Source organism: Homo sapiens, chromosome 12 (genome assembly GCF_000001405.40).
Source record: "Homo sapiens chromosome 12, GRCh38.p14 Primary Assembly".
NCBI classification, from domain to species: domain Eukaryota; kingdom Metazoa; phylum Chordata; class Mammalia; order Primates; family Hominidae; genus Homo; species Homo sapiens.
The window spans coordinates 92529495-92555267 of NC_000012.12; the positions used below are offsets into that span (position 1 = coordinate 92529495).

General features: G+C 41.2%; 2 pseudogenes, besides 5 other annotated features; one reads left to right on the top strand and one right to left on the bottom strand.

Moving 5' to 3' along the window:
- On the top strand, positions 955–1939 carry MTCH2P2 (MTCH2 pseudogene 2; annotated as a pseudogene).
- Positions 9605–9654: an enhancer, noted in NCBI's record as "active region_6748". NCBI's record gives its function as "activates an Ori minimal core promoter by ATAC-STARR-seq in GM12878 lymphoblastoid cells {active_cell/tissue: GM12878}" and the evidence as "EXISTENCE:reporter gene assay evidence [ECO:0000049][PMID:35858748]".
- Positions 14940–15079: a silencer, noted in NCBI's record as "silent region_4701". NCBI's record gives its function as "represses an Ori minimal core promoter by ATAC-STARR-seq in GM12878 lymphoblastoid cells {active_cell/tissue: GM12878}" and the evidence as "EXISTENCE:reporter gene assay evidence [ECO:0000049][PMID:35858748]".
- Positions 15398–15493, bottom strand: LOC124903118 (uncharacterized; annotated as a pseudogene).
- Positions 18025–18225: a silencer, noted in NCBI's record as "peak1885 fragment used in MPRA reporter construct". NCBI's record gives its function as "represses an SCP1 promoter by STARR-seq MPRAs in K562 erythroleukemia cells {active_cell/tissue: K562}" and the evidence as "EXISTENCE:reporter gene assay evidence [ECO:0000049][PMID:32103011]".
- Positions 22388–22827: an enhancer, noted in NCBI's record as "active region_6749". NCBI's record gives its function as "activates an Ori minimal core promoter by ATAC-STARR-seq in GM12878 lymphoblastoid cells {active_cell/tissue: GM12878}" and the evidence as "EXISTENCE:reporter gene assay evidence [ECO:0000049][PMID:35858748]".
- Positions 23957–24146: an enhancer, noted in NCBI's record as "active region_6750". NCBI's record gives its function as "activates an Ori minimal core promoter by ATAC-STARR-seq in GM12878 lymphoblastoid cells {active_cell/tissue: GM12878}" and the evidence as "EXISTENCE:reporter gene assay evidence [ECO:0000049][PMID:35858748]".

A 25773-nucleotide genomic window follows, 5' to 3' on the forward strand; every position in this document is an offset into this window, starting at 1 on the left:
AGATTCAACGGGAAAAAGATTTGTTAAGAAAAGTAATTGAGAGGCTGCTGTAGTAATACAGGTGGTTGGATTGAGAACTGAGATAAGCAGATAGATTTAAGAGAAATAAACAAGAGAGAAATAATAGGAGATGAAGATTTGTTGAACATCTGATTAAATGAAAAGGAGGACTGAAGAGTCCCCACCAGGTTTCTGGATGTGGGCTGCTGGGTTGGTGGTCATGCCATCCCTGGCTAGGGAAATAGAAACACATAGTTTAGGGAGGAAGGGCAGTCCACTCAGGAGTTCAGTTTGGCATATGTGAGATGTTCAATAGGCAGGAGACTGTGTGAGTTTTGATATGGACCTGGAAGACATCAGTGTATATTCACAAGTTAATGTCATAGGTGTAAACAAAATCATCTAAGAACAGTGTGGAAGGTAAGAAGAAAATTGAGGCTGGATCTCTAAAAAACAGTTATATTCAAAATTTAGACAAATGAGATGATGAACAGGAGCAGTCAGAGAAGTAAGAGGGCACACAGAAAAAAATCAGTGATAGAGAAGCCAGAGGAAGATATGGTTTTAAGAAGGCAGAGTCACAGTGGTGCCCCACACTTCACAGAGGTCAAGAAGATAAGAGCTGGAACAGTCATTTGACTTTAGCCACAAGGAACTCAATGGGGACTTTTTGTCTAGAGCAAGTTTCTCAACCTTGGCACCATTGACACATAAGGCTGAATAACTTTATGATGGGGGGCTGTCCTGTGTATGATGGAATGATTAGCAAAATCCTTAGCCTCTACACATTAGATGACAGGACCAACCCCATTTCCCCTGTCCATCTCCCATTTGTGCCAACCTAAATTGTCTCCAGACATTGCCAAATGTCCCTTAGGATGCAAATCACCCCAAGTTGAGAACCACCAGCCAGAGTAATTTCAGTAGAAAGATTAAAAATAAAGCCAGACTGCAGCAGGTGCCATCATGGCAGACACAAGTCAAGTCCTCCTTGGTTCTGGTCTCACCATCCTGTCCCAGCTGCTCATGCGGGATATAAGCCTCTTCCTCCAAAAATAGGATGCAATATTTTTGGATGGCAAGTATTTCAACTTCCTGGTCTCTTTTGTTACACTCAACACATTGCCAGTATCAATGAGAGGTATGGGTTTTTCACAGGCTTAACTCCAAGACTGTGTTCGGGAGGCCTTCAAACTGTGGCCCATGGAAAAGTTTTACAGCATTCCCAGGAGTGTGATGAGGACCTGGAAATGTGCATAAGGAAGTCTCATCTTCCTTTGACTGAGTTATCAAGGAGACAGCTTGAGAGATGATGGCTCATTCTGCTGCTATCCTCATCACATATCCCTTCCATGTGATCACTCTGAGACCTGTGGTACAATTCATTGGCAGAGGACCTAAGTACTGTGGACTTTGTGACTTCATGACCATCTATCAGAAAGAGGGCATCCTAGGGTTTTTCCCAGGACTGGTTCCTCACCTCCTAGGTGACATCATTTCTTTGCGGCTGTGTAGCTCACTGGCCTACCTCATCAATACCTATGCACTGGACAGCAGGGTTTCTACCATGAATGAAATAGAGTTATTCTCAAGCTGTCACAAGATTTTTGCTGGCATGTTGACCTGTCCCTTTGTGCTTGTCTCTAATCTTATGGCTGTCAACAACTGTGGTTTTGCTGGTGGATGCCCTCTTTACTCCCCAATGTATACTGCATGGATAGATTGTTGATGCATGCTACAAAAGCAGGGAAATATAAGCCCAGGAAATAGCTTGTTTTTCCAGAAGTTCCTCTTAAGGAAGACTTATTCGTGTGATTTGAAGATGTGGGGCAGAGACAGTGATATTTCTATAGTCCTAGATACGCAAAATTATGGCAGAAAATGTTGATTTCCATACAGTGTGATGCACTTTTATAACAATCATTTAATCTTGGGGAAAAAAACAGACCGCAAAGGGTTATGAGTGAGCAGGTAGTGCAAAGTGAAGTCAGCAACTTAGCTGGAAAAATAAAGAAGGAGAGAGAGAGATAGTAACTAGAAGAGAATGTATGATTAATGGAGGATTTGGGTTTTTTTTGTTTTTGTTTTTTAAGATGAAAGAGGCTAGAACGTGCTTAAATGATGACAAGAAGATCCAACAAAGAACGTGCTTAAATGATGACAAGAAGATCCAACAAAGAACCTATATTTGAAAGTGGCTAACAGATGGAGCAAAGTCTCTAGGGAAACAGGAGAGAATGGGGTGCAGAGAATCTCCTGAACAGGTTTTCCTTAGGGATAGCTTTATAATGTTGGGAGGGACTCAGGACTTTCAAAGAATTTCCCTCTGTTTGCCTTTATTGTTTCTGTGAAATAGGGAACAATCTGGAGAGTGAGAAGAAAGTAGAAAGGCAAAGGCCCTATGACAGTGAAAGTTTTTAAGTGGCCCTGATTGGAACCCAGATAATTCTTTTCAGGAGACATAGACAACACAGTTGAAGTTGGAGATCATGAATGGTCAGTGATAAAAATGCTCTTAACGCCATTTTTCCCCCCAGCAGTTTTCAGTAGCCCAGGAACAGATATGCAGGAGATTAAAAGATTGATCAAGACATTGGTTTTTGCCAGGTGAGTGTGATGGGCAGTCAATGTAGCAGGAAAGTTAAGGATTTGGGAAAGTTGGATCTTTTTTTTTTTTTCTTGTTTTTTTTTTTTTTGAGACAGAATCTCACTCTGTTGCCCGGGCTGGAGTGCAGTGGCACAATCATAGCTTACTGCAGCCTTGACCTCCCAGACTCAAGCGATCCTCCTACCTCAGCTTCCCAAGTAACTGGTACGACAACCATGTACCACCAAGAAAAGCTGAATCTTTAGGAAATGGATTGCTCTAAATGCTCATCTGGAAGAACAAACCTGCAATATGACCTTATATCACATATAAAATGTATATAACATATTATATTACATGTATTATATTATTATTCCACAGTTTAAAGACTTAAACAATAAGACAAAAAAATAGAAAATGTATAAAATAATTTATATAATCTAGAGAAGAAAGGTCTTCCTAAAAGTAAAGCACGATGCCCAGAAATCATACATAAAAAGAGTTATATTTAACTATGTGCATTTTGAAAAAATTTTCAAAGCAAATAAATGATACCATTAAACAAAGTTAAAAGGTAAAACACAGGCTGCAGCGCATATGATAAAGAGCTCCCACAAATCAATAAGCAAAGTGCTAACATCCCAGTGGAAAATGGGCAAATATATAAACAATGTTATCACAAAGGGAAATTCAAAGGATAATAAATATATGAAAATATACACAACCTAACAAGTAGCTACAGAAATGCCAATTAAAATATATTGATGAGATTCCATTTTTTGCCTATCAAATTGGCAAAAATTAAAGGATATGTTCAATTTCAGTGAGAAAGTGAGGTATTGGAAATTGCTATTCTCTTTTGGGAAATCAATAGCAACATATACTAAAGGGTAAAACACATATGAGGAGACATGGCCAATATCATATTTGAGAGAAACAAAAGCACTAACATTTATGTGTGTAGGTGTAAGTATAAGTGTGTATGTATACACTTATAAATGCATATAAATATAAGAATCTTTATTGTAGCATTCTTAAAGAAATCACAAAAATAGGCTGATTGTCCAAAAATGGGAAATAATTGAATTAGCTACGAGACATTTATACAACAGAATATTATTACGACCACCCAACGGGTTCACCTTGCGCACTGCCTAGACAGAGCCAATTTATCAAGACAGAAAAATTGCAATAGAGAAAGCATTTAATCAATGCAGAGCCACTGTACAGGAGACCAGAGTTTTATTGTTACTCAAATCAGTCTCCCTGAAAATTCGGGGATCAGAGTTTTTAAGGATAGTTTGGCTAGTGGGGTGCCGGGGGTGGGAATACTGATTAGTTGGGTCGGAGATGAAATCATAGGGAGTCAAAGCTGTCCTCTTGCACTGAGTCAGTTGCTGGGTGGGAGCCACTCGTAGCGATCTGGGCGGTGCCAGCTGATCCATCAAGTGCAGGGTCTGCGAAATATCTCAAGCACAGATTTTCAGTTTTACAATAGTGATGTTATCCCAAGGAGCCATTTGGAGGAGTTTAGAATCTTGCAGCCTCCAGCTGCATAACTCCTAAACCATAATTTCTCATCTTGTGGCTAATTCATTAGTCCTGCAAAGGCAGTCTAGTCCCCAGGGAGGAAGGAGGTTTGTTTTGGCAAAGAGTTGTTATTATCTTTGTCTCAAAGTTGAACTATAAACTAAGTACCTCCCAAAGTTAGTTCAGCCTATGCCCAAGAATGAACAAGGACAACTTGGAGGTTAGAAGCAAGATGGGGACGGTTAAGTCAAATTTCTTTTACCATCATAATTTTCTCAGTTACAGTTTTTGCAAAGGCAGTTTCATTATGCTACTATAAATATAATTGGTAGGCTCTATATTAGTTGACCTGGAGAGACATCCAGATGAAATATTAGTGAAAGAAAACAAGTTTCAAATGTATGTAAGTTGGGTGATTTCATCAACACACATATATGGAGCATGCATTTATGTTTCTTTGTATGAGCATGAAGAAAAATAGACATAGGACCATAGGTCATACCATGGCTGATGGGACTGTATATTGCCATCTTCTTTCAGGAAATTTGTTTTTGAAAGGAGTAAAAATAGGTTGGATGGGATAAGAGAAGATTGTCAACTTTTTCTCTATAAATTTTAGGTTGGATTCAAAGCATGCGTCACATTAATAACTTTTAAAAATTGAACTAAAAAATACAAGACTAAAGCATGAAATGATAATTCACAAACTGTCAAGAAAGCAGAAGATATTGGCGATGATCCATTCTCATTTTTCTATATAAGTATAATATATAGAAACATTGTTAAAATGAAAGCACATATCACATCTCACTACTTAACGAAAGAATTGCTTTCATGTCAGAAGTCTCAATTTGCGCCTGAGTAGATTTGCCACCATAGTATTCAGACATGTCTGGACACGTGTAGAGGCTAAGGGTTCAGGCCCACTGGGGGTTGATTTGAATGAGGGAAGACTAAGGAGTCTCCTAAGAAAATCTCATCTTAAACTAGTTAGAGTTGGACATATGTTTTTGGTCAAACAATATTGAAAGGGATGGCATGATTTTAAGCACAGCATAAAGACAAAAGGTAAACATCCTTACTATTTAATGTTTTCCCACCCAATCCCTATGTCTGAGTTCTAGGACCAGGTACAGTTGTATTAATTGAATTGATAGACTCCACACAGAAACATCTCTGAGATGCTGAGGAGGCAAGAAAGCAATTCGGGGACCTGTGTAAAGTGTGGCACTAAAGAGGGTGCCAGCGTGGTGGGATTTCAGGGGCATTCAGCGGGGGAATGGGCCTCAGCAAAGCTTGTTGGAGGCAGAGGGAAGCCCCTCTACATTCTGCTTTATTCACTTGACATTAAAACTACACATTTCTCTCCATTTCTATGGTCTTATCTGTCATTTTTAATGAATAAATACTATTTTATTGATATATGTATAGATATTTATTAACCTCTTATCTGTTTTTTTTTTAACTGTTTGAGTTAATTTGGACTGCTATAACAGAATACCGTACACTGAGCGGTTTATAAACAACAGAAATTTATCTCTCATAGTTCTGGAGACTGGGACAGCCAACATCAAGGTACTGGCAGATTCAGTGTCTGGTGAGGGCACCCTTCTTGGTTCATAGACAGCTGTCTTCTCTCTGTGTCCTCACATGGTGGAAGAGGCAAGGAACCCTCTGAGACCTCTCTTCTGAGAACACTAATCCCATTCATGAGGATTCCTCCCTCATCACCTAATCACCTCCCAAAGACCTCACCTCCTAATACTATCACCTTGGGGGTTAGGATCTCAACAGATGAATTTCAGAGGGCAGGGCCTAAACATTCAGGCCATAGCATCTACTATTACAGAACTTCATATGTATGGCTTTGTTTTGATGCTCAATTATCTCAATTATTTTCTTAAATTCCCAAGAGCATACACTGACAAGCTCAAAAGATTTGAACATTTGCCTGTGTATAGTGATACACTAGACATAGTCATGTTATTTTTCGAAAGCATTGAAGCAATTTAGCATGCCATCAGCAAAGCTAAAGTTATCAAAATTTTGTCACAGATTGGACAGCTAGGTTTTATCTTTTGCATTTAAAAAATATTTATTGAGTATCTACTATCTACTATGATCAGACACTCCTCTGCATATTTCCCTCAAGTTCCCATGTGGCTTCCTGAGTCCTAGGATGATGGTCCTAAGCACTATGTTCTGTAAGCACCATACAAAATGTACTCACAGCCAAGAAAAATCCACCTGCCATGGGATCCTGTTTTCCCTATGAGGAGACCTTCTCTTTTCCAGTGGCTCTTTGGGAGACACTGTCTCCATCTTTCCATTACCTGCAGAAGCAGTTTCCCTCCTTGCCACTAAGGTTGATTTTCTAGGACAACTCTTCCAATTCTTTTTATATCCAGGGCTGTTTCCTCCCTCAGTGTTTCCTTCCTTTCTACCTCCTGGAGTAGAGCACCCTCCTAGAGAGAGACAGAAGTCCTGGGTAACCACATCCTGCCATAACCTAGGATCAATGTGATTCTCCAGTCCCCAGAGACCCACTGGACCTAGGTGGGAGTGAAGTCAGCCCCGCCTTTCCCTGTGCCCAAGCAGGTCCCCAAGACGCCAGCCCTGCTCCCTCCTAGAAGCTAGTCTTCCTCTGTCCTTCCGACAGCCTGCACTTTGGGAAGAACTGGCCCACTACTTTCAGCTCTCCAGTGGGAGTTTTCACCATAGATGATAGCCTCTGTTTGTCATGTTTGTTGTGATTCTTTCCCATCTGCTGACCTAAGTTATTTTGTTCTTCTTGTTGTTGCTCATATGTTTGCAATCCTTTATGTAGCCACATTTGTCAGTCTTTTTCTTTGTGATTTCTTCTGGCACTTCAAAGTACAATTTTTTTTAAAAAAAGACAGTGTTTTCTCCAAAGATCTGACAATCAATAACTTACATTTTCTGCAATATTTTCTATTATCTAATACTTTAGCCATATAAAATTTATTTTAATCATAGGGTATTAAATTGCTGTATTAAATTGATTTTTTCAAAGAGAGATCTAGATAAGAATACTAAACAATCTGTTTTAAATAATTCTTTATTTTATTGTTTTTCAAAGATGCCTCTTGTTATCTGTTATATTCTTATATACAATATGTTTACTTCTGAACTGTGCTGTTCCATTTAACTGTATGCTTATTGGGGGAAGATATACCTCCATTTACTGTTCTCTTTGCAAAATACAAGTTAATGCTCTTAGGTGAGCATGGGGGTGGTAAGTGCTAAATAAATGACATCTATTTTTGCAAATAAAAATTACAATTATGTTAAGTTCAAATATCCTATGGAGATTTTTGAGGTGGACTATAGTCAACCTATAAATTTGTTGAATGAGATAGAAGGCTTTCTGATTGATCATTATTTTCAAGGATAATAGTACACCTTTCCATTCATCTTCTCTAATATTATTCAGTAAAGTTTTATACTTTTGTTTCTATTAGATAAGACATGCAACTGTTTCATAAGAATTCTTATTGTTAAATAATTTAGATAATATTATATTATTCTGGTAAAAATAAAAGGACTCCTGGTATATATTTATATATATGGCATTCATCTGTCCATTTTATTGATGCCTATAGTTATTTTATTTTTTAGATTATTTCTTATAGTTTTTAAAAGTATACAATCATAACATCTAAAAATGATATTTCAATTTTGTTTTCCAGTATTAACTCTTCTGAGTTTTTTTAATATTTTCTTGCATTGACCACAACTTCCAAAGTTGTGGTCATATGTATATGCATTGATGAAACCCATATGAGAATGGTTGCCTTGGTTTTCTTACTGATTTGAAAGGGAAACTTTCTAACAGGAAGAAGAAAAGGAGGCTTTTGAATAAGACTTGAAGGTTGCTTAATGCTGATGGTGTCTCTTACAAGCTAGAAATACAGAACAAATTCCACAACCTCCCTGAATCCCAGTTCCTTCACCAGGAAGATGATGATATGAATACATCTCACAATGTCATAGGAATAACTGAGATATCATTTGCAAAGGGCCTGGCACTCAAGGCAGATACAATACATTTTACTTTTATCTAGTAAAAGAGTTGAGATTTAAAGCCAGATCTACCTGACTTCAGGCCCACACACATAACCCTGTGCTCTGCAGCCTCTTCAGGAGGAATTCCATTTATGCGTAGGCCATGCCCATGTATGGAAACAAACACAGCCACAGATGTCTAGGTCTATTAGCCACAACAAAATAAACCCTGAAAACTAAGCTACCTCTCTGTGAATATACCAGCTTCCCTTCATGCACAGCATCATGTACGGATCTGAAATCCGTACATGTCTAGCCAGCCTGGCCAACACAGTGAAATCCTGTCTCTACTAAAAATACCAAAAAAAAAAAAAAAGAAAAAAAAAATAGCCAGGCATACTGGTGGGCGCCTGTAATCCCAGCTGCTCAGGAGGCTGAGGCAGGAGAATCGCTTGAACCTGGGAGGCGGAGGTTGCAGTGAGCCGAGATCACACCATTGCACTCTAGCCTGGGTGACACAGTGAGACTCTGTCTCAAAAAAAAAAAAAAAAAAAAGAAATGTCTAAACTCTATCCAGTAAGTGCAAATTCTAAGGTAGTGGCTATCTTTAAGGAGGGGAGGCCAGAGATGGGGTGGAAGGACAGAGGAAGAATATGAAAAGAAATGCAAGTCATTGAAACTATTATGGTACTTAGGTTGGGTGGTGGTTTCACAGGTGATCATTATATTATCAGACTTCATAATGTACATGTATTTTAGTGTCATGTTTACTATGCATCAATTTTATACAAAATATTAAACAAAGCCAAAAAAAAGAATCCTCTGGCCCAGTTTAAAAGACCATGAGTATTTAATTAACAATTCCTGACCAGGCACAGTGGCTCACACCTGTGATCTCAGCACTTTGGGAGACCGAGGTGGGTGGATCACGAGATCAGGAGTTCAAGACCAGCCTGGCCAAGATGGTGAAACCCCATCTCTACTAAAAGTACAAAAATTAGCCAGGTGTCGTGGTGGGTGCCTGTAATCCCAGCTACTCAGGAGGCTGAGGCGGAGAATTGCCTGAACCTGAGAGAGAGAGGTTGCAGTGAGCCGAGATCATACCACTGCACTCCATCCTGGGCGACAGAGCAAGACTCCATCTCAAAACAAACAAAAAAAAATTCCTATTCCCTCTACCCTGTATTCACTGTTCACTGTACTCTACCCTACAGTGAACAAAAGGTACCTAAGCCAGGACATGCCCCTGAATCTTTTATCCTGATAATCATATTTTCCTAGGCACAAGGCCTGAGAGTTAACAAACCTGATTTTTTGATAGTATTTGTCCTGGAAAATAAAACAAAATGTCTTTCTTTAAGGGATAGTCTTCCTTTTGTCAAAGTGTCAAGGGGGAAAAAAGGGGAAATTTTAAAAGCAGCCTATTTCATTGTCACCACTTCATAAACACTGCACTAAAGGGCAAGAGCCACGCTTTATTCCTCTTGCAAAATCCCAAAGCACCCAGTACAAGGACCTGCACTTAGTAGGCGGACAATTGACATTTGTTAATCAATGTATGAATGATGAGCCAAGTCTCATAGCTTCCATGGAGAATCTTAAATGTCACTCCTTTTGAAATGCGACCATGCTTCTCAACCTACTAAAAATTTCTTAATGAACCACCCACAGACACAGTCTTGTGTGAATATCTCCTGTGTTCCCCAAATCCTTTGTGACCTATGGACACAATTGCTAAACGTGAGTCATGCTTCTATCACTCCCACACAATGGGTATTTTTAATGCTACAGCATTTCCTGAAGTCAAGCGCTCAGGAAATGGTTTTTGCAATAATGACCTCAGCCTCCCCATATTCCCCCCACCCCCCATCACAGAATCCAAGAATAACTGAACAGGTGTCCAAATACCCAGAATTACCCAAGAAACCTCACAACCTGTCTTCTGTTTTCTATCAAAGTCATGAGGTTAACCTCTTGTCCTTTGGAGTTCGAAGGAATGTGTCCAAGAACTGAACACAACCATATCTGTCCTTTATTTATATTGAGACACAGTTTATTTCCAAGACTGTCAATGGTCTCCAGACCCCAGAACTAAATCTGTATACCATCATGGCTAAAAGTATGAGTTCTGGAATTCAAAAGCCTTAGAGACTGAATTCTGACTCTGCCACTAAGTATGTGGCTTCAGCCAAGTCATTTAGCCTTTCAGAGCCTCAATATTCTCACCTGTAAAGTGGAAATAATGGAAGAAACTATTTCTTGGAATGTGTGAAAATCACTCACGTAAACTGCTGATCTCCAGGCCTGATACACAGCAAAATGCCTAGTACTTGCTAATTGTTATTGCGTCAAGTTTCCCCAGATTGAACCTTAGGTCTGGTCAGTTTCTCCTGGACAGCAGTCATTTTGACAGCTTAGGATCTTTAGGTGCCCACATACCTTCAGAACCTCAACCCATTCTTGGGAGCACTGTCTGACCACCCTCTGAGGACCAGAAGCAGGAAGAGAGATCAGATGGTGAGAGGATAAGGACTGTTGATACCCAAGGGAGGTTGTAAAACCACTTGGGCACACCCAAGTTCAAAACAAAGAAGCCATCACACGAGGGTGAGAGAAGAGGTATTTACTCAGTGAGGCCCCTTCCAACCCTCATGGTAAAAGTCTACACTTGTTTAGAAAAGAGTATGTCTGTTTTATGATTTTATTTTTTAAAAAGGGAAACTCAACAACAAAAATGATGATGAAAATGACAATCTGACTATGGAAAACAGGCTCCTGCTATTCTCATCAGACCATCTGACAAACTACCCAAGGGAGTTTCCGAGGCCTCCCAAACAGTAACAGCAGAGCAGCCACTCAAGAGGATGCCCCGGGGAGCCGCCAAACTGCAATTGCCCTGGAAATCAGATTCGAACAGCTCAGACATGAGGGCAAAGGGCGGGATGCATGCATCCCTAAGCACCAGCCCTTCAGCCCAGCAGAGGGGCACAGACAAAGCTGCCCCGGAAGAATTGTTTGGGAGGTGCAGATACAAAGAATAAGATCCTGCTGGCAGCGCTGGGAAACACAGCAGCAGTCGGCACACGCTGGCCCTGGCAGTCAGCAACCGCCTGGCTCAGGCTGAGCAAAACCTTTCTGTGAATATGGCGTGAAAGCAGATCTCTCAGAGGCTCATGCTCCCTGAAGGTGAAAGATCAACAACAAAAAAGGCATTAACCCCTCTCCTAAATGATATTTCATGGCCATCAAAATCCCATCAAAGGAGCAGCTCATGTTCATAAGCCTGGGGGAGATGCTCCCAGCAATTTAGACACATTGGCAGCCCCAGGGAGGAGGACATAGCCTATGGGGACTCTCTATGTGTGAAGGGCAGCAGTTTGCATAACAAATGTTCCATGCACAATCTTGGAACATTGGCATAATTCTTTCTGGACCCAATAATGATAATTACTCTCTGTCCTAATTAAGGAGAAAATAAAGAAGCTAATACTTTTATAAATCAACAAGTAGGATTAGTATGATGTACAAAGCGCCCTTGAGTTTGCTTCAGGAGACTTCCTCCTCTGTGTGACCACAAGTATATCACATCGGCCACCTGGGCTTTTGTTTCCTTATCCATAAATCCTTTCTTTAAGGGGACATCTTATGGGTTCCTTTGAATGCTCCTATCCTAATTTATTCTTCTTTTCCTTTAAAAATGTTTGGTAAAGGCTTAGCATGCATGCAGTAAAATACACAGCATGATGTGTAGTATTCTTACTTAGAATTTTATGCCTTTCAAAGGGCGAAAGATGGTGATCAGGTGATATTGATTCTCTCCTTGTATAGCTTCAAAGATCGTGTTATAGATGAGAAACTAGATATTCAAAGGCACAGAGAACATGTCATCCGTATCACTCAGATTAGAACTTCCAAGTGCTCACTCATGATATGTAGTCTGGTGAGCCAGGCCTCAGAGTGTCCTACTGTGGGCTCATGGAGCAGTTCTTCAGGATGTGGACAACATTGCTTGGACCAGGGACAGGAGAGAAAAAAAAGTGATAGGCTGAGAAGAAATTTTTATGTGACATGCAAATACTTAGAAAAGATGAATGCTAGTACATCGGGAAATTTATAATTTCTTTTGACATTCAGGATTTGCCATAATTTAATAGTTCTTACCTGTTGGATGCTTACTATGTGCCAAGCATTGCACATTAACATGTATTATCCTGTTTAATCTTCAAAATAACCTATGAGGTGGACAATTTTATTACCCCATTTTACAGAAGAGGAACAAGAGTTTCAGGGAAATTAAGCTAATTTTCCCAAGTTACTGATAGAATGTGGCAGAGCTAGGTCTTGAACCCAAGCCCACAAAATTGACCGTGCCATTATTCAGTTTCTCACAAGCACTTCCACCTTACTCTGCAATGAAGGCACCACCACCCCCCAGGAAAAGGCACTACCCCAGCCAGATGGTACACTTCATCCCCACTTCTGCTGTTCAGGCTTGAACTTGGCATGGTCTTCACCTTTCATTCTGCCATCCAAATCCATCCCTCAAGACCTAAGTCGAATACTATCTTCTCCTCGCCATTGCCTTCTACCCTGAAAGTTCTGTACTCTGAATCAGTTTAAAAGGTGTTATCTGTTCCATCCATCTGGGGTCTTCATCATTTCCTTAAATATGTACATTATCCATTCCTTCAATAACATACATATTCAGTGTGCTTTCTCCTCAAATAATTGCCAGATACTAGAAGTCAGAAACCATGTTGTCTATTTCTTTTGTATCTCTGAAAGAATCATAGTACAAAATTTATAAATGAAATCATGTAGCTCTGTGCTATATGAAAATTATATCATATGACATTACAGCCACCCTGTATTTGTTGACTAAATTGTCCTTTCTGTTTAATTCCCAAGCATTTGAGCCACTCTGCCCCAGATTGAATTGCCTTGCCTTTTTTTTTTTTTTTTTTTAAGATGGAGTCTCACTCTGTCACCCAGGCTAGTGTGCTCACTGCAACCTCTGCCTCCGGGTTCAAGTGATTCTCCTGAGACTTAGTCTCCCAAGTAACTGGGACTACAGGCAACTGCCACCACACCCGGCTAATTTTTTGTATTTTTAGTAGAGATGGGGTTTCACCATGTTAGCCAGGATGGTCTTGATCTCCTGACCTTGTGATCTGCCCACCTCAGCCTCCCAAAGTGCTGGGATTACAGGCATGAGCCACCGCGCTCGGCCTGAATTGCTATTTATTCATTTATTTTGAGACGGAGTCTCGCTCTGTTTCCCAGGCTGGAGTGCAGTGGCGCAATCTCAGCTCACTGCAAGCTCCGCCTCCCAGGTTCACACCATTCTCCTGCCTCAGCCTCCCCGGTAGCTGGGACTACAGGCGCCCGCCACCATGCCCGGCTAATTCCGCCAACATGCCCGGCTAATTTTTGTATTTTTAGTAGAGACAGGGTTTCACGGTGTTAGCCAGGATGGTCTCCATCTCCTGACCTTGTGATCCTCCGGCCTCAGCCTCCCAAAGTGCTGGGATTACAGGCATTAGCCACTGCGCCCAGCCCTGAATTGCCCTTTAAAAGCTTTTTTTCCCTTGTAAGATCATAATATTCCACCTTCCACTATATCCAGACTGAGACAATAGCAACTGTGTGTGTTTATATGTGAATATGGAAGATATGTGTGTGTGTGTGTGTGTGTGTGTGTGTGTGTGTGAGAGAGAGAGAGACAGAGACACAGAGAGAAATGTGTGTTCTGATAAAGCAAGGTACATTAGATAATAGCCCATTGCACCTTGCATTAAGCAAGCCTGTCTGAGAAATGAGCAACTTTCTCAGGCCACTGCTCAACCTAGAGTGTTGACAACCTTGGGAGAGAAGACTTTAATTGCAGTCATTCCCTTATTCCCTCTGGATTACTTGTTTATAGTCTGAAATTGCTGAACGAGTTCTGCAGGTTTTTCTTGTCCATTTGCTGAGCTTGAAGCAAGAAGGGAGAGACCCAGGTTCACTGAATTGTAAACAGTACTTCTCAAGGTCAAACTGGAGAGACTGCACAGAAGAGGGGGTTGGGGGGCAGGTTTCTGAATGTGACAGACAAGAGTAACATATTGCATATATACTTTACTGCAAGCCTGCACAGAAGAAAATCGAAAAGAAAATAATATTGCAAAGAATCCTGTTCAAACTCGATTTCTTACAGTGTTTTTTTTTTTTTTTGGCCAAACTTGAAAGTCAACTTTTTAAAAGTAATTAGACATCTAATCTGTGCTTTATCCCACTGCCACAATCTCCAAACTTTTTCTGTCATTATATAAACATTATTTGAAGTTATAAAGAACACAAGCAAGTGGGCTAGATATTATCAAAAGATACTTCCAGAAATCACCGGAAATGACCGGAAGCCCAGTCAGCCCTGTTGTCTTGAAATAAACACATGAAACTGAGCTCCACATGCTCAGGCTGCAGTATATTCAGCACGCTAACAGGTACAGGCACTGCTTTGCCCCAGACTGGTGGGAATGTGGCACTGAAGAAAGCCCAGGCTCTACTATGGAAGAGCTTACAATCTGGAGAGAGTGGAAACGTACACAGCATATCATAGCACCATAAAGCCAGGGAAACACAAAAGGTAGAGATGAGAAGACCCTCCTTTTAATGGTTTAATTTTTAAGAACACTATTCACCAATTGTAGATTTAGGAGAGGTTTTTTTTTTATGTGTTTTAAGTCGAAATACCTGAACTTCAAGCCCAGTTTGCCCTTTCCTACCCTTGAGATCTGAGTCAAATCACATCGCCCAGTGGACGGCAGTTTCCTCATGGATGAGATCAGAGTGTTGGTGTAGACCATGGGTTAGCAAGTAACAACAGCTAGGGGTAAAAATCCAGCTCACAACCGGTTTTGTAAATAAGATTGCTGGAACACACCACGCCCATTCATTTACATATTGTCTATGGCTGCTCTTACTCTACAGCCGCTGAGTAGTTATGACATATGGTCCACAAAGCCTAAAATATTTACTATCTAGCCCTTTCCAGGGTTCCTGACTCCTGGTGTAGCCAGTCTCTAAGGTCTCTTCCAGGGGCTTGCAAGGTGTTATGTAGACACATAACAGCACTTCGAAAATTTGAAATAATCACACAAACGGAAGAAATGGTCAAAAAGCACATGCTGGGTCCCAGAAGACAGCAGCTCTCCTTGCTTTATGTCATCAACAGCAAACAGCTGCTCCAAGGGGTCGCAACTCGACTCATATTAGAATCACCTGGGGAGAATTTTATTTGTCGTAACAAGGTTTGAGGGAGGCACATTTCACACATTAGCATGAAAACCCAATCATCATGCTTTGGAGAATTTTTTTTTTTAATGTCAATGCCCAAGACCCAGTGTCTACAGTTTCTGATTTAATTGCTGTGGAGTGGAGACCTGGTATCAGCTGTTTTTAAATGCTGTCCAGAGGCTGGGCATGATGGCTCACACCTGTAATCCCAGCACTTTAGGAGGCCAAGGTGGGTGGATCACTTGAGGCCAGGAGTTCAAGACCAGCCTGGTCAACATGGTGAAACCCCATCTCTATCAAAAATACAAAAACAATTAGCCAGGCATGGTGGCAGATGCCTGTAGACCCAGCTACTCAGGAGGCTGAGGCAGGAGAATCACTTGAACCCGGGAGGCAGATGTTGCAATGAGCTGAGATCTGTACTCCAGCCTGGGCAACAGAGTGGGACTATGCCTCAAAAAAAAAAAAAAAAAAAAAAAATTAGCCAGCAGTGGTGGCACATGCCTGCAGTCCCAGCTACTCAGGAGACTGAGGCAGGAGAATTGCTTGAACCTGGGAGACAGAGGTTGCAGTGAGCCAAGATCACACCACTGCACTCCAGCCTAGGTGATAAAGTGAGACTCTGTCTCAGGAAAAAAAAAAACCATCCAAAGAATTCTACCTTGCATTCAGGGTTAATTTAACAAAAGCTTACACGTAATACCAAGATATGGAATCAACCTAAGTGTCCATCAGCAGATGAATGGATAAAGAAATGTGATCAAAATGCACAATGGAATACTATTCAGCCTTTAAAAATAAGAAAATCCTGTCACTTACAACAACATGGATGAGCCTGAAGGACATTACGTTAAGTGAAATAAGCTAGGCACAAAAAGACAAATACCGTATGTTCTCACTTATATGTGGAATCTAAAAAAGTTGAGCTCATAGAAGTAGAGAGTAAAATGTTGATTACCAAAGGCTCGGGAAAGTGGGGATGGGGTTGAGGAAATGTTGGTCAAAAGATACAAATTTTTATCTAGACAGAAAGAGTAAGTTCAAGATATCTATTTTATGTCATGGTAACTATATTTAATAATAGTATATTGTACACTTGAAAATTGCAAAAAAATAAAAAATATTAAAAAATATGTGAAGCAAAAGCTATTTAAAAAATAAGGAAATTGAACAAAACTATAATATTAGAAGGGTATTTAAGTACAACTCTTATGACCTTGGATAGTTCAAGCTGACCAGGGAGATGAAATAAAGATACAAATAAATACATTTTTAAAAAATACCACTGAACCTTTTTAAAAAAAACATATCGATGCCTGTATTTCTTTCCAGGTATATTACACCAGAATATCTGGGATTGTGGCCCCCAAACCTGTATATTTAACGAGTTCTCAAGATAATTCTTATGCAGACAACTCTGCAACAGCCTGCATTGAGTAGCCAGGTATGTGAATCATGCTCAAGGCCAACTATGATGCAGGAATTCAGAATCCAATAGAGAAGTGTTAAGGTCCATTTCATACTTCTTTATCTTTGACTCTCAAAGGTGTAACGCAACACCTGGAACTTAGCAGATATTTGGTAAATGTTTAATAAAGAAAACTTAATTTAACCTGACCACTGAGTGTTTCGGTGGAGAGAGAAACACACAGGAGGTTTATGCTTAATCTTGAAAGAGATAAGGCTAAGACTCATGTTCTATACACTTAATTAAATAGCCATCAACTGCAACCTTCCTCCACCTATCTACACTCAAACATTAACTACAAAACCTGATCAAAAAATCATTATTTTAAAATCACCAACCCACGGAAGCTCCTTTAGTTAGACTGAAGTTCACGTGATTGCTTAAACCTTTTTTCTGGGAATGGATCTTTTATGCCAAGTAGGCAGGGTTACTGCCCCATAAACCTACCTTCTGTCATTAGCTTTGACTGTTGACACTTGCAATGATTAGACAGGGTTGAGCAAAGGGTATTTTTGCAGTCTGTGGGGAAGAGTATAGAAAATAAACATTGCATCTCATTACAAAGCCCTGAATGTGCAAAACATACTGGTCCAAATGCCATGATTAGATAAGCACCTGCAACACTCATTAACTTTGAAGGGAAATTGAAGCCAAATTTGGGCCCATATGCCACCTGTCCTTACACTTCAGCAATCAGGTGACCTCTATTCTCACATTAAGTTAATTTCTGAAACACTCTACATGATAGCTATTGCCCCAGACTTCTAATAATTAACCCAGGGTGTCCTCTCTCAAACATCCTGTGAAATAGTCTCCATCTACAATTTCTAGGGTTTCAGATGAGCCTTTGCCCATAACCTGAACATGTCCTTTTTAAAGATAGGTCATTGTAAATGACTCTGAGTGACAGCCTAATGCTACCCCACAAAGTAGAATGAAGTGTAATATTGATCCACTCATCCACAAACACAAAAATGCATGTGTTTTGTGTGAGGGCAAATAATTACTAAAGTAGCCAGAATAAAAACTAAGGTTGACACAGGAGGATTGAGATGATGGGCAAGTGATCTCTAAAGAAGAGTGCACCAAAGGCCTCTCTGTCTCACTCTGTAATAGTCTATTTGCAAATTGCCCTACATGCTGTATCACATGTAGCTCTAAAAGTCTGTGGCTCCAGGCGAGAGCCTCTAAGTAACCTGAGAAAAAACTACATTTGGAAATGTTTCCGTGAGGCTACTCGACAAAGTAGCTCCCAAAGTTATGATTCATTCAATCAGATGGCCTCATCTGGTCAGGGTGCAACTTAGGCATAGGTGTAGGGAACAATTGGCCACATGGAGTAAGCTGAAGAGCCTGGGAAGACTCCTCTGTTCAAATATGTCTTTACTGCTTAAGTGTTAAAGGTCCCAGAATCCCATCATGAGAGTCCAGTTCCTTTGTATGTTTAGACTATAACAGAGCCATGTGCCACAGAGAGGAGTACAGGCTGGAGAGCTGAGTGGTCAGAAAGATAATTGGATGAAAGAGGTCCCTGGTGTGCCAGAAAGATCTCTCCAGCAAGCCATAGTTCAGATAATAAAGAAAATTAAAATCGGTGACCTTCTGTGGAAAGTGAATTGATTCATCCCTCTCTTCCCAGCAATTTCAGAATTAACTGACATAAAGCCATGGATAGAGAGCTGGTTGTGCAATGACTACAAGGTCTCAAAAGCAGCAACTGCAGCAGAACACAGCACAAGCTTCATGAGAAGCACGGGGAGGACAGAGATGGCAATTCCACCAAGAAGGATTAGGAAGGATTTTTTTTTTCCTTTCCCAAGACTGAACACATCATGTGATGCTATGTGCAACATGGAGATGATTAAAATCAGCATGCCTACTGAAGTTCCAGGACTAGCAGGAAATTGTGAAGCCTGTACTGCAAAGTAATACCACCTCCAGGTTACCAGATGGGGTGAGGGGTTACTCAGAAGCCAAGGCAGCTAAAGAATTATAAATCTCTATATAATTCTGATATCCAGATAGTAAAGAATTTTTAGTCTATGAGACTTCTAAATAGCACTCTGTGGCAGGAGCACATCTCCCTTGGCTCAGATATACCCAGGAGAGCTATGCCTCTCAGCAAGATGCTATGAAATTAATTACCTAGGGGAACAAGAGAAGCATTGCAAAGACTATGGTGTATCATATGTGCAGGTGATCTTTTTTTCTATGCAAATATTATTGATACGGGTAACACTTCAAATCATTAACATTTTAATCTGAAGGAGAATCCTTCTAGTGACAGATGGGGTCCAGGGTTGAGGTGAGAGGTAAGGGAGAAGACAAGTTCTGTCTATAAGCCCACTCTGATACGAAACAGAACGTTTAAGCATTTATTGCAAATTCCTCAAATATTTATTGAGCACCAGCAATATGGGAGAAGATGTGCCAGGCATTTGGGAGGATATAAACATGTATATATGTACTAATGCCACCATCAACTAGCTCAAGACATAATTGGAGAAATGGCATAGGGATAACTGTGATATAGGATCAATTTAGGAAAGTCTTGGAATTGGCACAAGGACCCACAGAATCAACACCAGCTGGGAGTGATACAAAATTAGATTGTCGGGCCCTATACAGGATCCCCAGAATCGTAATGTGCATTCGACCATGATTCCGTAGGTGATTTGTGTGCACATTTGAGAATCACTGGTCTAAACAACAACAAAAAAATGGCATGTTCGTGGAGGCCCTCTAACATATTACAAGAAAGCTTCAGAGATAGTTAAGGTCTCACTGTGAGATATGTGAGAGCAGAGGAAGAGGAATGGCCAAAAGTTCAGGAGAGAATCATCATTCCACGGTTTTCTTTTTTCTTTTTTTTTTTGAGACGGAGTCTCGCTCTGTTGCCCAGGCTGGAGTGCAGTGGCGCGATCTCGGCTCACTGCAAGCTCCGCCTCCCAGGTTCACGCCATTCTCCTGCCTCAGCCTCCCAAGTAGCTGGGACTACAGGCGCCTGCCACCAGGCATGGCTAATTTTTTGTATTTTTAGTAGAGACGGGGTTTCACCGTGTTAGCCATGATGGTCTCGATCTCCTGACCTCATGATCCGCCCGCATGAGCCACCGCGCCCGGCCCACAGTTTTCTTAAGTATGCTTGGGGGATGGCAAATAGACTGGTTTTAGACACATTTAAGGTACTGGTAGAATGGTCATGGGAAAAAAATTCTAGAAAGGTAGGTGTGGGCTGAGTTCCAGAATAACCCTAATTTCTGATTTCCTAGTTACACAAAGATGTGCAATCAAAAGGACATGAGAAAATTTTAAATGGCAAAAAAAAAAAAATGTTTAACTTCTCCTTATAATTGTTCAGACTTCAGTCCCAACTCAAGTTCCTTCTTTACCCTGTCAAAGCCCTTAGGAGGCTCATGTGTTATCCTTATGTGTATGGTCTTGATAGAAAAGATGTAGACAGCCAATGGGATGAGAACTCCAAGAAGGGCTCCAACCCTGAGGGAGAATGAAAAAGAATTCACATCAGAAACCAGGTGGAGGCTGGGCGCGGTGGCTCATGCCTGTAATCCTAACACTTTGAGAGGCTGAGGCAGGCGTATCACTTGAGGTCAGGAGTTTGAAAACAGCCTGACCAACATGCTGAAACCCTGTCTCTACTTAAAAAAAAAAAAAAAAAAAAAATTGGCCGGGTGTGGTGGTGGGCACCTGCAATTCCAGCTACTCAGGAGGCTGAGACAGGAGAATCGCTTGAACCCGGGAGGCAGAGGTTTCAGAAAGCCAAGACTGTGCCACTGCAGGCCAGCCTGGGTAAAAGAGCAAGACTCTCTCTCAAAAAAAAAAAAAAAGAAAAGAAAAGAAAAGAAGAAGAAACTAAGTGGAAACTCATCAATTCATCAATATACACAGGGAATGCATGCAAAGATTAGTGGGAACCTTAGCTCTAAGAATATACATATGTTCAGGGCCTTGACCCTGTACTCCAGACAATTAGCTCTGGGTGTGTCAATTTCAGACACTCTTCTTCACAGAGCCCCAGTCTCCTGCCCCATGTGCAACACTATCTGGAGCTCAGAGCCTTTGTACCCAATTTCACTTTTGCCAGTACTCTGCTTTATGACTGGACTCTGCCTCCATAACTAATAGATCAATTATGGTAGCACTTACAATCTGCCAGGGACATGTCTACATGCTTTATATCCTAAATCATTAAGATCCACAACCACCCTATTACTTAAGTATGATTATTACCACCAGTTCACAGACAAGAAAACTAAGCTACAGAGAGATCAAATGCCTTAACTGAGGTCACTCCACTCACTCCACTAGTAAGGGGTGATGTTGGGATTTGAATCCATGCAGTTGGCTCCACAGTTCACACTATTAAGCAGATGTTTCTCTAGGAAGCTTTTTTATCCACTTACTGAGAGGCTGGGGGAAAGAGTTCCAGAAAGCAACCACCTGACTCATGAGCAGTGACCATTCTCTGGGATATGACCCACCCACTTCACTGATACCTAGTGCTCATCACTTTGACAAATACAACTAAGATTGTTTCCTGCCTTGGGTTTCATGATTGCAATTTTCAGAGCTGGCCTCTGGATAAGGTCCTTTTTCTAGACATTATTATGCCCCATATTTGTATTTGTCAGGAAACTGGAGAGTTTATTCCAGGAACTAATTTGAAATTATAAGAATTTTTTTTCGTCCGTCAGAATAACCATTCATGAAAAGATAATGCATACATCAGTGAAGGAAGGTTCTTAAAATGGGTCAGCCAGAAAAAGGAAGAATTAAATTGGATGGCATGATTACATAGGACAACCAAGGACACCAAAGGGGCCCAAAGAAAAGAGAGCCCATGAAGAAATAGAACTGACCAGCATGAAGGTTGTACTTGGATGTTTAATGTGAAGCTGTGTTCGGTTGCCTTTTTCAGATGGAGAGAAGACGGTCCCAGTCTTCTAGGTCTGGGAAGCCAGGTCTACTATGGAGGCCTTAACTCCTGTGTGGAAAAGGCTGAGGTAGCACATTTCACCATAGGAGGAAGAAGAGACACCAGTGAAGGATACACAGCAGTAAGAGATATGGAAAAGAACAAGGGTAATGAATGGTAATTAATTCATTTATTTGCCCATTCATTCATTCTACGAATATATATGGAGCACCTACTGTGTGCTACCCTCTGGGGCAGATTTTGGCTTCAGGGAGCTTACTTGACAGTTGGGACCCAGAAAATGAGCAAAGCAATTGCCCCTTTCTTCCTGTGTACATATCAGAGGGGTAGATGGAGTGAATGCTGTGAGAACATAGGACAGGAATGAACCTTCTGTCAGGGTCTCATGAAAGCCCGGGTTGGTGAGTTTTAAAATGAGACCTGCAAAATGAGAAGGAATCTGTCACACAAAATGTAGGGAGAGAGGGTAAGGAAGAAGAACATTTCAAAAAGAAGTGTTGTTGTTTATTCCCCAAAGATGGCCAGAAAAGTGACTAAGAAAAGATCACAGGACTCCAGGTTGCCTGGGCAATCTCTGAGAGCCCTGTCTAGGGTGAAGTGGGAGTGAGACCAACAGAATAGTGTTAAGGGGACAGCTTATGGCAGGAAATGGGGACAAGCAATGCATGTGATTTGTCTGAGCTGGAGTGGGGGAGGATGAGCTTGGTTTTGCTATGTCAGGCCATTAGTTGGGGCAATTTTCAGTTTCCATTTGAGCCTGAGCCTGGAGTAGGTGCATTCCAGATATGCAGAAATCATGACCATGGAATGATTCATCTCCAGTTAGCTCCCTCAAAAATTCCCCACAGTCACTATCTGACACCTTTTCCTCAGGCCTCCACCTTGCACCTCCCCTGCCCCCTCCAGAATGACTTTGTGTCATTCTTCACTGAGAATGAGGCCATCAGAGAAAGCCTTCCTCATTTCTCCCTTTTCTACCTCTTTATTTCTCTAGATCTTCACCCTCCCTTTTTGGGAGAGGAACACTTCCTCCCTCCTGCAACCTTCCTCCACCTATCTATACTCAAACATTAACTACTAATGTGATCAAAGAATCATTATTCCTTCATTCCATAAATAACTCCACACCAGCACTTGATCCCTGTCTTCCTTTCTCTTCTGTAACTTGTACCACAAATCATGCTTGTTTATTTAATTTCTCCCTCACTACCACCATCTATTTCTAAACCAACAGCCTACTCAAGTCTGCCTGCTTCCCAAGAGTCCTCACTCAATCCTGCTTATCTTTTTGGCCAACCTCCAACTCTCTGGAATTTGACCTCAGGACTTCTTGGAGATGATTGGATGGCTGTTTTTACCTTCTAGTGACCCACTCACTCCTCAGCCTTTATCATCTGACTTTCCAGCCTGCCTATGTGTTTTTTACCCTGTTGCAGCCCCTGCCACCACCCCAGAATGCTGTTCTGTTGCACTCCTACCCGCTATGGGACTGTGTACCTGCCAGGCCTCTAGATGCTGCATCCCTCTCCTTGACCCTCATCTGAAGCCCAACCCTATGCCAATCTATAGAATGAACCCCAATTCAGACAAAAGAGATGTCAAGGTAACCAACTCCACCCTCTGAGATCCACGACTAGCCAAGGCTTGCCATTGCTCCACGTTACATCTCTGTTGTGAGAGCCATCTTGATTCTCATGTGTGAGCCCAGATTTGGCTCTAAGACTGATCTCTTAGTTTCATTCCTGTTCAACCTATTTGTTGAGCATGTATTATGGGCCAGACTCTGGCACACAACTCCTACACATGATTACCCCTCCCGTTCACAACACGGCGATGCTGGAGAGCCCTACATAGTCAGCAGACCCATGCTACAGAGGGTTTGAGGAACTCTTCCAAGGACACACAGCCATTCCATGGTGGAACCAGAACTCAAACAGGCATTCTGATTTTAGAGCCTTTGCTCAATAAATAGTTATAACAGAAGAGAGAGTGGAGACGTGTGTGTGTGTGTGTGTGTGTGTGTGTGTGTGTGTGTGTGTAGGGGTAGAAGATAGTGGTGGGGGAGCTTTCTGAGACCCTGCTACTCATGCCAGATTTTCTGGTCCTGATTAGCTACTGCCTGGCTGCCAGAAGCTGTTATTATCACTCACTCCCGTGCTCCTGTCACTGGGCTTGTGGAAACTTGCCCTTCCTTCTGCTCTCGGTCTCTGATGCTGACAGCTATGCTGGAAAATCCCATGCTGGCCACTGCCACACTTACCAGAGGCATATTGTACGTGCTGGTCTGGACTTCCTGCCTGACCCCTACGTGTCCTGTGCCTGCCCCTTCACAGGAGGTCGGTCTACTTCCTGGCCAGGGCCTTTCCAGCCTGTCTCACCCCTGTGCAGGTAACAGAGCTCTTTTCTCTGCCACCACTTCCCCACGGAGTCTTTTCCATGGTTCTCCCTGACAGAATTCATGCTACATAGTCTTTGTTAACTCATGGCATGCACTTTCTTCCTGCTTCTTTCCTCAATTTATGTGAGATTAAGTTAATACCAACCTATCTTGTTAACCCCTTCTAATACGTAATCTTCTTTATTTTAAAATTTAAATGTTTGTTATATTGAATTCAGTAACTAGAACATTCTCCTCCAAAATAAGAATGGTACAAAAACCTCAAATAAGTAAGTCTGTTGGGGAAAACAAGTTCCCCCAAAGAATAAATCTACCAGGAGAGTAAAAACGATGATAATCAGAACAATGATCAATAATCACTATTGTCAAAGTGCCTGGCAATCACCAAACACCAGATTCATCGGCTCTTCACCGTCCTGTAGGATGACTTCTGTGACTTGCTAAAACCCACACAATAAGTATAATGGTGACAAGACTCAACTCCCAGGCTCTGACATTAAGTCCTATTGTCTTCCTAAAATGCTCCTTAAAGAGAGGATTTCTGTCTCACATGGTCATCTGGATCATTTGAAAACTTCAAGCAGAAAGTCCCAAGGTCACCATTAAATGTTTTCCAAGATTACACATCTTCAAACAGAAACCCAAAATAATGAAAACCAGGAACCAAGACTTCCAGCTTCTCTAATGAGAGTAAGTCTTAGTTCTTTTTCCTTACTCCACAAGAAAAATTATATCTCCCAAGGGGAGTTATGGGCTTTCCAAAAGAGGAGCAAAGGGATTTGAGCTTAGGAAATGAAACTTTGCTCAGCACTCTTCAGGAATGACGTTCTCCTTCCTCCCCTATAACAATGCAAGTGCACATTCATTTTCTTACATTTTAAATCACTGAACAAAAAGGCCTAGTTTTATTTATCCTGCTGCTGCCACTGTGGCAAAACTAAATGTGTGGTGCATAAACTGTTTATAAATCTTGTCTCCAACAAGAGAACTGAGTGTGCACTTTTTGAGGACCTTAGTTCATTCAGAATGATGAGAAAATTTGGGAGAAATTTTTCTCTTGATATAAGAGCTGTATAGGCCAAATGGACTTCCTTTTCTGGCCTAAATGCTGTGTTTATAAAAATGGTGTGCTGTAAATAGCAAAGTATAGAAGTGAGAAATTATGCCTCTGCTGAATAAACCACACTCCCGGCCGACTGACTCCCTGCTTCTTCAAAGTGAAGAAACATTTGTTCCTATATCTTGTGAACAACAAGCTGGATCCATTGAAAATGCCAGATAACATTGATCTTGGGGAATAAGAAAACAACCTTTTTAAAGGTCAGAACTGTCTTAGTTTTTAATGGATTATTGGTTGATGAATTCTTTCATGAAATATTTCTCTAATGCCTTCTGTGTCGAGAACCATTCCAGGATCCAAATATACCCTTGCTTCCATTTTCTGCATCAGGGTCAGTGATCCTGCTGAAAGGTTAATTTCATTATACCACATCAGTCTCCTGCTCCAAACCTCTCACTGGTTTCCCTCTGCA